Genomic DNA, 15223 nt, shown 5'->3' on the forward strand with positions numbered 1-15223 from the left:
ATTCTTACCAATACTTGGTATTGTCAGTGTTTTTTTTTAATTCAACTATTCTAGTGTATGTGTAGCAGCATCTTATTATGTAATTGGTTTGCATTTTTCTAATAATTAGCAAAGGTTAGCATTTTTTCATGTACTTATTTGCTATTTGTGTACCTTCTTTAGAAAAGCATCTATTCCAATATTTATCCAAGTGGTAGCATAATTAGTAATTGTTATTAGTGGTAATATTTATTATTATTACTTAAATATTGAAGCTTCTTTTCTCTAATAGTAATATAGCCACTCCAGTAAACTGTAATTTTTTTGCATGGAACATCTTTTTACATGCTGTCCTATCAATTTGTGACTTTGTATTTAAAGTACATCTCTCGTTGAAAACATCTAGTTGAATATTTTTTTCTATACAGTCTGACATTCTCTGCCTTTGCTTGAAATATTTATTCAATTCATGTTTAATATAATAATAGGTAAGGTTGGATTTAGGTTGGACATTTTGCTTTATTCTATTTAACTATTTTTGTTTCTCTATTCATCCTCTATTACTTCTTTTTTGGTAAACAAACTTTTTTACTTTGCCATTTTAACTCTTCTGACACTTAGGTGTGTAACTTTCAGTGTTTGATTACTCTAGGAGTTAAAATATGCGTCTGTAATGTAATACAATCTTCAAGTTAGCACTGACTTCATTTCCAATAAAATATAGCAACTTGTCTCTGTATAGCTCCATTTTTTTCTCTTTCTATTATTATTGACATATATATCGTGTTTGTATACATTATAGAAACAACAATTGAGTGGGGTTTTTTTGGATTTTAATTATAATATGTTTAAATTAACGAGAAAAAGATAATACCTACGTACACCTACACAAAATCTTTTATCTATGTATTCATCATTTTTTCCTGTGGTTTTTAGTTACCATTTGATGCCCCTTCTTTTCCATCTGATGAAATTTTAAAATTATTTCTTGAAAGGAAAGTGTATAGCAACAAATTCTGTTTTTGTTTTTGTTTTCTAAACCCGGAAATGTCTTTATTTTGTGATGAATAATTTTGACACAAAATATTTAGTTGACATTTTCTTTTACTTCAGGACTTTTTAATATGTTACTATCTCCTGGATTCCATTGTTCTGATAAGTCTGCCTTTAACCTCATTATTGTCCTTCTCTACATGATGAATTATAGCTGTCTTGATACTTTTAAAATTTTTGTTTTGTTTTCTTTTAACCTTTGTCTTTTAGGAATTTTACTATAATATTTCTAGGTATACTTTTCTTTGTGTTATCCTATTTGGGGTTTGTTGAGATCCTTGGATCTATATAGTTAATGTTTCTGACCAAATTTGGTAAAGTTCTGGCCATTTCTTTCAAAATAATTTTTCTGCCTCTCTCTTTCTCAACCTCTTTTCCTGGAATTCCAGATACACATATGTTAGGGTGATTGATATTATCCCAGACATCTCTGAAGTAATGTTTATTTTTTAACGTTTTCTATTTTATTGGATAAAATAATTTATATTTGTTTATTTTCAAAGGTATGAATCTTCTATTATTTCAAATCTACTATTGAGTTCATTGAGTAATTTTTAAATTTAATTTATTATGCTTTCCAGCTCTAAATTTTCTACTGGGTTCTTTTTTATACTTTATATTCCTCAATAGAGATCCTCTATTTGTTGTCTCATTGTTATGATATTTCCCTTTAATATTTTAGCTATTCTTTCTTTAATTATTTGAACATACTTATCAGTCCTACTTTAAAGTCTTTGTCTGCTGAATCTAATATCCATGCCCACTCGAAGTCAATTTCTTTTGATTTTTTTTCTGAACTATGCAGCACACATTTTTGCTTATTTACATGTCTGGCATTTTTTGTTTGCAATTAGTATGATAAGTAATATGTGACAGTGACTAGATTCTGTTCTGTTTTAGGGTTGTTGATTTTTAAAATAATAAATAGGCCATTTTTAGTATAGTCTTAGATTTACAAAATAATTAAGCAGGTATTACAAAGAGTTGCATACATTCAAACCCCATTCTCTACCATGACTGTCACCGTTTCCCACGTTACTGACATCTTGCAGTAGGATGGTACCTTTGTTATAATTAATGAACTAATGCTGATATATTATTATTAGCTAAAATTCATAGTTTATATTAAGGTCATTCTTTGTGCTGTAAAGTTCTACAGGGCTTGACAAATGCATAATAATATATATTAACCATTACAGTTTTATACAGGATGGTTTCACCATCCTAAAAAATACCATGTACTTCACCTACTTATCCTTCTCCTCCCTCTCTGCTGACTGCCACTGATCTAAAAATATCTGTAAAACTGATTCATTAAAAATTGCAAAATTGTAAAAGTGATCCATTAAATACTGTAAGTGAAAATGATTTCTATAGTTTTGCCTTTTCAAAAATTTCATATAATTGAAATCATATAGCATGGAGCCTTTTCAGACTGGCTTCTTTCACTTTACAGTATACATCTACATTGTTTTCATGTCTTTTCATGGTTTATAGCACATGTGTTTTGTGTTGCTTTTATTATTTTTAATTGAAACATAATTTTACATATTTATGGAGTATAGCATAACATTTTAATACATGTGTACAATGTACAATGATCAAACAAGGGTAATTAGCGTATCCAGCAACTCAAGCATGTATCCATTTTAATGTAAATATTCAAAATCCACTCTTCTAGCTATATGAAAATAAACAATAAATTGTTAATTATACTCACCCAATAGTGCTATTGAACACTGGCAGGTTTCTTTTTATTGCTCAATATTTCTTTCCATAAATGCACTACAGTTTGTCTCTTCATCCTCTATTATAGAACATCTTGGTTTCTTTAAGTTTTTGGCATTTATGAATAAAGCTGCTCTAAACATTTATGTGCAGGTTTTTGTGTGGACATAAATTTTCAAAACTGGGTAAATACCTAGGAATATGGTGGCTGGATCATATGGTAAAATTACTTTTAACTTTAAAAGAAACTACCAAACTGTCTTCCAAAATAGTTGAGCTATTTGCATTGCTGCCAGCCATGATTGAGTGTTCCTGTTGCTCAGCATTCTCACTGGCATTTGGTATCATGTTTGCTTGTTTGTTTTTAATTTTAGCAACTCTACTAGGTGTGTAATGGTATTTCATTACTGTTTTGTTTATAATTTCTTAAAGATACTTCATATGAGGTATCTTTTCCTATGCTTATATGTCATCTGTATAATTTTCTTTACTGAGCTCTATTCAGATCTTTTGCCCATTCTTAATTGTGTTGTGTGTTTTTTGTTGAGTTTTTGAGTTCTTTGTATATAATTGTATACAAATTCATTATCTGATATATTTTACAAATGATTTCTCCCAGTCTGTGACTTGTTTCCTTATTCTTTTAACAATGAGCAGGAGTTTTTAATTTTAATAACATCTAAATTATCAATTTCTTCTTCCATGATTAGTGCTTTTTGTGTTCTATCTACAAACTCATCACCAAATCTGGTTGCATGAATTTTACCCCACTTTATCTTCCACAAGTATAATAAGTTTGCATTTTGTACTTAGGTTTGAGATCCATTTGAGTTAATTTTTTTTGCAAAGGACATAAAATGCCTATCTGGCTGTTTTTTATTTTGTTTAGTTCTGTTTTGCCTATGGATGTCCAGTTGTTTCAGCACCATTTGTTGAAAAGACTATCCATTCTCTTTTGGAATTGCCATTACTCCTTTGTTAAAGATCAGTTGACTATATTTTGGTGGGTCTATTTCTGGGCTATCTATTCCATCGATCTATTTGTCCATTCTTTCACCATACCACACTGTTGTGAATATCCTAGCTTTATGGTGAACCTTGAAGTTGTTAGTGTCAGTCTTTTGACCTTGTTTATCTTTGGTATTGTGTTAGCTGTTTTGGATCTTTTCCTTTCCATGTAAACCCTAGAATAAGTTTATTAATATCTACAAAATAACTTACAGGAATTTTGACTGGGATTGTGTTGGATTTTTAATTCATTTGGGGAAGAAATGACATTTTCATGAGTCTTTATTTCCATGAACATAGACTGTCCTTATTTATTTAGATTTTGATTCTTCATTGCATTTTCTAGGTTTTCTCCCATGTATCCTGTATATAATTTGTTTGATGTGTACATAATTATTTCTTTCTCACTCTTTTCTTGGCACTAATATAAATGATACTGTGTTTTAATTATAAATTATAATTGTTCATTGCTAATATATAAGAAAGCAACTGATTTTGTATATTAACCTTTTATTCTATAACCTTGCTGTAATTACTTGTTAAGGTTTTTTGTTTCCGTTAATTGATTAGATTCATCCTGGGAAATCCGTTTCCTCTTGCGTATAGCTGCATATATCTCCACTCAACATGTCTGTAGCTTGATCCCTAGAGGATTGAGTATTTTCACATTTACCCAGTGATTTGGGCAGAAACTATGCTGAATCACCTCAAATTTGTAAGGCTTCCACTGTCTGCTAACTGGGCTGCGTAGGTAGAGGACTACATTCAAAATCACAAGTGACTTGGATTTTACTCATGACTCAAGAATCTCTTCTACTTTTCATTGGTCAGTCACAGGTCTCCAACTTAAGGCATAGCTTAGCAGTCCACCAAAGATGTGGAGAGTTTGTTATTTTATGCCTTCTATAACTCAATTTCAAGATTTCTCCCTTAAATTCTAATGTTCTGCCTCCCACCCCACATTGAGACCATAATACCTGGCCATCATAGTTGCCAATTATTGTCTCCTATATTCTCTTCCTGAATGAGTCCACCAGCATAGCTAGTAAACCTTTGTGCCGTCAATCTTGAACTGTGCGAACCATCACTCACCACTCATAAAGCTCCAGTTTTTACTGCCTGAGCTTTGGTGGTAGTGGTGGGTGGAGGTCAGTGGTATTTTGAGCATCCCTGGGTAAGAAGCCCACAGATGTTCCATTGGTTTCCTCCAATGTAGTAGCAGGTTTTTGTTTGCTTGTTTGTTTTTGACAGAGTCTCACTCTATCCTCCAGGCTGGAGTGCAGTGGTGTGATATCAGCTCACTGCAACTTCGGCCCCCCAGTTCAAGTGACTCTTACGCCTCAGCCTCCTGAGTAGCTGGGATTACACATGCCTGCCACCACACCCGGATAAATTTTTTGTATTTTTAGTAGAGACAGGGTTCCGCCATGTTGATCAGGCTGGGTCTCAAACTCCTATCGTCAAGTGACCCACCTGCTTCAGCCTCCCAAAGTGCTGGGATTACAGGCATGAGCTACCTCACTGGCAATAGCAATTTTTAAAGAGTAAACACATATCTCATTTTGTTGTATGCCTTTGATCATTTTGCAGTATGCAGAAATACCTATCTATCTATTTGTTTCTATTTTGTGACATTTTATTCTAACTTTCTGTGGTGGAGAATGGCTTAACTTCCTCAGACAGCCATTTTTGGAGGCCTAGCACCTGAAGTTACTCATGAGAAAATATCAGACAAACCCAAACGTCATCCCTCCTGCATTAAATATACTTGATCCCTGTGGGTGGTGTTAGTTGACTGCTTCCAAGATAAAGAACCAGTATAATAGCTTCAGATTAGGCAGAGATGTTTAATGATAATATGTGTTTTATGATACTTAGACTAGATGATATGTCTTTTTTGAACAGAGGAAAACTCATGTCATTACAGGCTTAGAACCAGATAAGAAGGTGAGAAATTTTACGCAAACTAATTTAGTCCATAGTATTGCCAGAAGTAGGATGGCATTCTGTTCCTCAAATTAATAAATAAGCACTAAAATTCCTAGGAGACAGTTGAACTGGTATCTAGATATTCATAATCTGGTTATGATAAAGTCTTAACAATTATAGGAAATGTATCTTTAATCCACACTCACTGATTATGCTTTCTATCTGGTCTTGAGGAGGTTATGAGACCTACAGGTCTCTGATAAATTTGGCTCATTAGATTCAGCTATGTCATTTAGGTAATCCTCATAGAGAAAGCCCTTGTATAATAAAATGATGGAGCCATATGGTTTTAAAAAGTTTAATTCTTTCTGCCAAACAAGCACTAGAACTAGGAAAGCTTAGTTTCCTATAGAATTTCTTGGAGATAGGGTATAAGGCATTCTGATTAAATCCACATTTTATATCGCTGTCCAGAAGTAGTACATAAATCCTACAGAGCTGCTAAGACAACACAAGTGTCCTAACACATTTCAATTAATCACTAACTTAAGTCTACATGTGAAAAAGAAAGGACTAATTAATAACAGCAAAGAACCATTCACAAATTCAAGAATTATGTTCTATTTATAGTTGATGAAAATCTGTTTCTGTCAGAAGTTCTTATTAAGTCCACTAGTCACAAAGAATAAATGAAAATGAGCTTGAACTTTGAAAGTATATTTGCTCTTACACTCTGTAATAATATCTAGGCTGAACAATTCAGGCACTGCTATTACCAGCAATGTGATAAATATTTTTCTTTGTGGGCACATACGTCAATGTTAATCTTTAGAAATAGGCTTAAAGGCAGTAAGATCATTGAATCCTACAAATGTTATATGTTGTTGGTATTTTAGTGTCTCCTTACTTCCCCTCTCCCTGTACTCCACAACTTCTTTTTGAGACAGAGTGTTGCTCTGTTGCCTGGGCTGGAGTGCAGTGGTGCAATCTCGGCTCACTGCAAACTCTGCCTCCTGGGTTCAAGTGATTCTCCTGCCTCAGCCTCCCAAGTAGCTACGATTACAGGCACCTGCCACCACGCCGGGCTAATTCTTATCTCCCCTTTATGTTGCTTGAATTCTGTAGCTCAACACTATAGACATTCCTTGGTGAATTTCCTCAACTCACTCTCCTTTTCTTCCTTCAACAATCAAATCCAGGATAAACCAAACTCTGTCTTCTGCCTTACTGAATGTGTACAGCTGGGTAATGATGAAAATGATTGCATATCCTGAAAAGTTGGTATTACTATAGCTTCATGACCAAAACCTCAAATTAGTGTACAATCACAATGTTCTCAAGCTCACTCCCTTACTGTAGTACTATGCTTTTGTTACACCTTTCCTTCATATTGCAAATTTTTAATCTCCCCATCACCTATTCCTAGTATTTTTTCCTCATATTAATAATATTTCCTGAAAAAAACATGTTCCAAGTAGAGCATCCGCATCTTATTTGATGGCAACTCCTTACCAGTTTCTCAGGCTAAAATACTGGAGACCAACTTCTGTTCCCCTTTTTCTCTCACATTCCGCCTCCGATCCACCAACAAGTTCTCTTTATATTCAAAAGTTTCAGAATCTGTTCATGTCTCATATCTTCTACTGCCAATTTGATCTGACCTACAATTCTGATTATTGCAATATTTTCCCAGCAGGTCCCCTATTTCTGTCTTTACACTATTACTCTATCTCAACTTATCTATAAGAGTGAGCTTTTTGGAATGTGTTGTATTTTTTAAAAAAAACATTTTGTTTTTGACACTTAACATGAGACCTACAAACTACATGACATGTAAAGGCCTTTGTGCAAGTAGCAAATTTTAAGAGAAACTTTTCTAATTACATTGCACTTAAAGTCATATACCTTAATTTCTGGATTATTCAATTATACGATTTTCCCCCACTGCCGGAAACATTCATAATCATGTATGTGAAATTTCCTCTCAACTTTAGAGATTTTATAAATGTTAGCAATTAAGGTGATGGATGGTGATTCAAAGCTCCATTATTCCTATCTTCCTAATTCTCCAGAAGGTATTTTGAGAGTCCTTGTAAAAGGTCCAATGATCCAGTAATTAATCCCTTTGCTTTCAAAGGCATATGAAATCCTCTGACTTCCTTAATTCACACTTTTTAATTGCTTTGCAGAACTTATGGTAAATTGAAGAGAAAAAATAAATAAAGATCATAAATATTGATTTAACTTTTGATTTAAACAATTTTTTCCACAAACTGTTTAATTTGTGAAATATGAGCACTGGAACTACCATTATTAACACCACTAATGGTCGAACAGCATTTAAACAAGTGTATAGTAATTTGGACTGGTGCTTTTCAGTGTTTCATGTACATGTAAAGTACCTGGGAGCTTGTTACAATGCAGATTCCAATTCAGTAGATCTGAGTGAAGAGCTAGGAATCTGCATTTCTAAGCTCCTAGGTAATGCTCATACTGGCAGCCTTAGCTTATCCTTCAAATAAGTAGGATTTTGAACACCTTGACTTGTGTAAAGAAATTTGAGCAAAAAAGAAAATCATCAAATTTCATTTAACATTAAAAAAATGTGGACCGTGCAAAGAAATAATCTCCAAGAGACTTTTATATTCTCAGAAGGCAAAGGAAAGAGTGAGTAAATATGTGTGGAATAAATTCATTCAGTATACTGGAGGTGTGTGGGATTTGGTGTTAGAGATCTGGCTTTGAATTCATCTGGACCACTCACTAATAGTGTGAGCCTGGATAAAGCTACCTAATAACCTTGGTCCTCAGGTAATTTATAAAATAAGTTCAATAATAACTACTTATAAAATTGTGAGAATTACATGAAAAAATATGTCATTAGCATTAAGAAAAATGAAAATATTTGTTTCTCTTCTTCAATATATAGGATTGGTTTTTAAAATGCTGTCTATGCTTTATACCATACCTTATACTAGCAGTATTTACAGTATGGATACGCCAAAGTCTTTTTGTTTTAAATAATCATACAAATCATACATATTGTAACATTATGATTACTAAATAACTCATGTCAGTCATAGCTAAATTATTTAATGGTGTTTGATAAGAATCAAAAGACCAAATTATAGAATTTGTTCTATGCTAACATACAATTATCTTTTTATAATACAGTGTCTAAAACACACTGTCCCCAAAATGTAAATTGTCTATGAATTTTCTACAGGTACACAAAATCCAAAGATCTTCATTCCAGGCTCAGCTTTGCCACTAATTTATGTTCCTTTGGGAAAGCCAGTTAATTTCTGGGGACCTTGGTTTCCTTTCCTGGAAAATCATATTAGATTATAACTAAAATCTGTTCTCAAAGAGCCTAATGTCTACCCTATTATGTTTCTTGCAGCTTCATTGGCTGTAAGTTTAATCCTGTGTATGCATATACCATGTCACATTGGTAAGATTGTGTTTTTGAACAGTCAACTGTGAAATTAGCTCTGTAAATTCAGCACTTACCACATGACTATATTTACATTCAGTTAATATTTTATATTGATACAATCATTTATATGAATCTAAAAGAATTCTTATCGAGCATTTGCTAGCAACTCTTCCAAGCCTTTTTAAAAAAATAAGTCATTTAATTTTCATTATAACCATATTAGATAGCTACTAACCCTATTTGATAGCTTCTATTATTATCTTCAACTTACAATTGAAGAAACTGAGGCATATGAGATTAACTTTCCCATGGTCACTCAGGGTTTTGATCTCTATGACTAAACTCCAGAACTCATGTTCTTAACCACTATGATAAGCTCCCTGTGTCACCATAACCATAAATGTTTCCTAATTCATAATTTATTTAGTTTGTCGGACAGAAGTACTGAATTGATTTAATATTAGTTCATTTATGTATACAGGATTCCTACAAAATAATTCTTTCAACTATATTAAAGATTTCCCTTACGAATGTTTTGAACAAAACCTACCATTTTGGCCCAGTACCTTGTGTAGACACACATTTAAGAGATTTTTGATACCTACTTTCCCCCATCATTCATTGCCCTTACTATACTACCTTTCCCTAAGATAGGAAAAAACATAAAGAGACCCAAGAAATAAAAATGACCTATCATTCATTGTTCTATTATTATTCTTGGTAGTTTTGCAACGCATTATGCAATTTCTAGGGAAAATAGTTCACTCCATTTTGTTGGTAACAAGTCAAGTAAACATAAATTTGAGTCCAAGTTAAGTAGTTATGCCTTTTGAAGATTTTATATCTGGTGGTCTGCTCAGTGTCACCAGGTTTCCACGGCAATATAGCTGTAACATTCCTTCTGAGAGAGCTTGCATCAGGCACACTGGATCGGATTTATGTCATGGACCCCCACAGGGTATTAATCATTCTTTGAGGTCATTTTCAGTTATGAAAGTAAGTGAATTTGGAAAAAAAATGGCATGAACGAACTTTAAACCAGGTCCCATGGCTAGCTTCAGGTGGTAGAAAAACAAATGTTGAAGATTCACAAAACTAATTTCTTGGCAGAGTGAGTATGAAGATTGAGAATCAGATGGGGTAGTTACCATTCATTAGCACACTTACAAACTGTCTGTGTTACGAAAACCAGGGCACACTTAGAGGAAAATAAACAAATTTATCAAGCTGGTTTCAATTTTCTGAAGTACAATGTTGAAAGGTTTCCACTTGGTCTGTGTGAAATTCTGAGAAGATAATTTAGACATGGCTATAATGATTTGTCACTTCTGTCAGGTCTTAGAAAAAAGTGTTAAGAGCCTGGTACACTTTTCTGATTGAGGACTGGAACAGTTTGCATACACCATTGTTCCAACAGCATGTGCTCACTTTGTGACTCTGTTTTACATCTTGGAAATTCTCGCAATATTTCAAACTTTTTATTATGTATCTGTTATGGTGATCTGTGATCAGGGTCTTTGATGTTACCAGTAGAATTATTTTGGGGAATCATGAACTGTACCCATGTAAGACAGCAAACTTAATAGATAATTTTGGTGTGTGTTCTGACTGTTCCACTACCCAGTCATTTCACCATCTCTCTCTCTCTCTCTCTCTCTCTCTCTCTCTCTTTCCTCAGGCCTTCCTATTCCCTGAGACATGATAATACTGACATTAAGCCAAATAATAAAACTACAATGGCTTCTAAGTGTTCAAGTGAAAGGAAGAATTGTATATCTCTCATTACTTTCAGTAGAAAGGTAGAAATAATTAAACTTACTGAGGAAGGTATGCAAAACCTAAGACAGGCCAAAAATTAAGCCTCTCTCACCATACTGCCAAGTCGTAAATGCAAAGGAAAAGTTATTGAAGAAAATTAAAAGTGTTAATCTATAAGAAAGAAGAGCAGACTTATTGCTGCTTTGGAGAAGCAGCTGATATGGAGAAAGTTTTAGTGGCCTGAATAGAAGATGAAATGAGCCACAACATCGCCTTATGCCAAAACCTAATCCAGAGAAAGACCCAACCTCTCTTTGATTCAGTAAAGGCTGAGAGAGGTAAGGGAAACTGTAGAAGAAAAGCCTGAAGCTAGCTGAGGTTGGTTCTTGAGGTTTAAGGAAAGAAGTTGTTTCCATAACAAAGTACAAGGTGAAGCAGCAAGTGCTAATGGGAAAGCTGTAGCAAGTTATCCAAGAAGATCTAGCTAAAATAATTGATGAAGGTAGACTAAACAGATTTTCAATGTAGATAAAATAGCCTTCTACTTGAAAAAGATACTATCTATGATTTTCATAGTTAGAGAAGAGAAGTAAATGCCTGGCTTCAAAGCTTCAAATAACAGCCTGACTCTCTTGTTAGGAGCTAACGCAGCTGGTGAATTAAGTTAAAGTCAATGTTCGTTTGTCATTCCCCAAATGCTAGAGTCCTTAAGAATTGTGCTAAATCTACTGTGCCTGTGACCTATAAATAAACAACAAAGCCTAGATGAAAACACATCTGGTTATAACGTGATTTACTGAGCATTTAAAGCCAACTGTTGTGACCTACTACTCAGAAAAAGAAAAAAAAAGATTTCTTTTAAAATGTTACTGTTCGTTGACACCGTATCTAGTCACTCAAAAACTCTGATAGAGATTTACAAGGATATTAATGTTTTCATGCTTGCCAACACAACATCCATTTAACAAGCCATAGATCAAGGAGTAATTTTGACTTCCAAGCCTTATTAATTTAACAAACATATTTTATAAGCCTGTACCTGCCATAGATAATGATTTCTTTGATGGATCTGGGCCTAGTAAATTAAAAACATTCTAGAAAGGATTTACCATTCTAGGTACCATTAAGAATATTCATGATTAATGGGAGGAGGCAAAGATATCAACATTAATAGGAATTTGGAAGAAGTTGATTCCAGCCCTCGTGGATAACTTGAGGGGTTCAAGACTTTAGTGGAGGAAATCAATGCAGATGTGATAGAAATAGCCAAGAGAGCAGGAATTAGAAATAAATCTTGAAGGTGTGACTTATTTGCTGCAATCTCATGATAAAACTTGAATGGAAATTAAAGAAAATGGTTTCTTGAGATTGGAACTACTGGTGAAGATGCCGTGAACACTGTTGAAATGACAACAAAGGATTTAGAATATTACGTAAACTTAGTTGATAAAGCAGCAGCAGGATTTGAGAGTATTGACTCCAATTTTGAAGCTCTAGTATGGGTCAAATGCTATCAAACAGCATTGCATACTATAAAAATATTTCATAAAAGGAAGAGTTAATCAATGCAGCAAACCTTATTGTTCTCTTATTTTAAGAAATTACCACAGCCTCCCAACATTCAGCAACCCTGACTGGGAAGAAGCCATCAACATCAAGGCAAGATTCTCTACCAGCAAAAAGTTTACAACTCACTGAAGGCTCAGATGATCATTAGCATTTTTTTAGTAATAGAATATTTTTAAATTAAGGATTGTACATTACTTTTTTAGACATAATGTTATTGCACACTTAAAGAGTACAAGATAGTGTAAATGTAACTTTTAAATGCATTGGGACACAAAAATTTGTGTGACTTGCTTTATTGCAATGTTTGCTTTATTGTGGTGATCTGGAACCACTCACTGCCAGTATCTGTGAGGTGTGCTTGTATTTTCAGGATTTCATCTTTGTAGAAGTCAAAACAACTAGCTATGGTACATATTTGGTGACTAGTTCTTAACTAGCTAAATATTTGGAAAATTAGTGCTGACATGTAGTCAGAAGCTTTTCATTAAGTGCCTTCAAACAAGGGACTTTGTATCTCCACTGAATAGCTTAGACACCTGAACTATACCTCAACCTGGGCTTTTGTTAGAGGGAGAAGATATAGAGATATTAGGTCATCAATGATGTCTAAGAATTACAGTGGGTGCAGGAAATACAGACTCCTTGAATCTTTTTTAATTGAGGCTTTTATTTGTGTATGTGGCTATGTGATGTGCTTACATATACATAATTTCATCAAAGAAAGAGTTACAGAAATTTTACCCAGGATGACCAACTAGAAGCATTTTATATGTCCTTCAAAATTGTTCTCTCCCACCGCTCACCATTTTGACCCCAAGTGACATCTTTTTGCAAAATGGATTAGAAAGCCCTTATCTAAGAGGGAGAGGTTGGCATCTTCAGTGAAGTTACTCACTTTAAAGCAAATACATGTTTCTACATGTATTTAAGAGGGTTGGGTATGTGAGTCATCTGCTTTTAATCAATTATGTTCATGGCATTTCTCATTCCCAATAGTATTGTCTTGAACTTGAATAGGTTTTTTTTCTATGCAAAAAATATCCAATGGTACATTATTCCACATTTTCTAAGAATACTAACTAGTGTCATATATTCTCTTCCAGACTGGAAGACGATTTAAACTTCAAGCAGTATTGACTTACCTATGAATCACTTAGTATATATGAGCTTCTCAGAGAAGAAATCATAAACATTGAGAGTTGCCATGCATAATGATGACCTTCAACACATATGAAGTAAGATACAGCATTCCTTTTCCCCTTAAGTGGCTACCTCATCCTAACTTAAATATTTAACTTTATTTCAATTATTTTATATCAATGTAGAAGAGAAACATTTGGGTTGAAACAGCACAGCATACATTGAAGTGACCCACCACCTTTCACTTAGCCCATATGTAGTCCAAAATGCTGCACATGAGAACCTAGCTTCTCACTGGCCCATGACCTGCTTTCATAATCGGAAGTTTTGCATAGTAGCTCTATTCGAAGAAAATGGCATATTTCTCTACGTTTGAATTTGCATGTGTTACACATGTGTAAGCAAGGGTTCTCCAAATCTTGTCGTGTAATGTCTACAATGTACTTGATTTTCATATAGTCATATAGTCTTTTGTTTTAGATATTACACATAGTAAAAGAAAAATCCAAATTAGGAAATTAAAGAGTACCATTTTATAACAAACAATATACTTGGATATCTTTAAAAAGTGTCATCGATTTCCTAGCAGCTTTTTTAAAAAGTCTCACTACAAACATATACACCAATTATAAAAAGTACATCCAAATTTTAGAAATATAAAAATGTGGAAATAGGTATGATTTATAATCATGGAAGTATAGGAGGTTTTTTTTTGCTTTTTCTTTACATACCAAATGTTTTGCTAGACATGTCATAATACTGTTTCATAAATCTATGTTACCCATTTATGCTATAACACTATTATTCTTGGTGGTCCATAGAGAAATTTAGACAATGGCATTTTAAGATGAAAATCATTGTGCTCTCCCACTGTCCGAATTTCTTGGAACAGTCCTGCTTTGAGCACTATAATAATGCTAAGGTTCACGAACCTTCTCTCTGTCTCCTCAGGAAATTACCCAGATCAGCATTTCCCCATCTTTCATGGAATAAAAGGTAGGGATGTGGTCAGTCTTTCTGAGACATGTTGCCAAAACATTAAGGTTATATCAATAACAGAATGAATATAAGAATGAACCATCCTTCTATTAAAATAGAAGGAAAAAAGACCCAACTTAAGTTAGAGGTTTGTTTTGAACATTTTCTCTGTGTTGTGTAGTGACCTAGAGTTGCTTCTACCACCACACCTGATCCCACAAGGGTTTTAACTGACATGCTGATAATATTGTTTTAAATTTAGTAGGGAAGGCCTCCCACCACTAACTGTTTCTATAGAGCATTATTGAACTCTTGGGGAATTTTTCTTCCAAAGAAAGCATGGAATTCGTCTCTGAAATATTTATTTCTCCAGGATTCTAAATGAAAGTGTCTGGAATAAAAAAAGTGAGAGCAAAAGTAAAAAGAGAGAGAGACAGAGATAGGGAAGGAAGGAGAGAGAAATATTTTTGACAAATGATCAATTTTTATTGTTAGAGTTGATTCAGTGACTCTGTTATTACCTATCAAAAGTAAAGTAAGGCAATTGTACAACTTTAAAGTTTGTCATTTAAATGTTACATTTGCTTTGTAATTCAGTCAGTAGTATCCATGCCCATGAAAAAATCCTTTTGCCTATTTGCA

At 33.7% G+C, this 15223-nt stretch overlaps 1 long non-coding RNA gene across 1 annotated transcript in view; it reads left to right on the plus strand.

Annotated features, from left to right (window-relative positions):
• The first annotated feature begins 13570 nt into the window (after positions 1 to 13570).
• The window catches only part of LOC105375180 (uncharacterized), a 93261-nt gene continuing 91608 nt past the window's right edge, over positions 13571 to 15223 (plus strand). Inside the window, exon 1 of the long non-coding RNA XR_007060245.1 lies at positions 13571 to 13698. This is a non-coding gene — a long non-coding RNA (uncharacterized LOC105375180). The remainder of the gene's footprint in view (positions 13699 to 15223) is intronic.

The sequence above is a fragment of the Homo sapiens genome, chromosome 7 (assembly GCF_000001405.40).
Source record: "Homo sapiens chromosome 7, GRCh38.p14 Primary Assembly".
Lineage (NCBI taxonomy): Eukaryota > Metazoa > Chordata > Mammalia > Primates > Hominidae > Homo > Homo sapiens.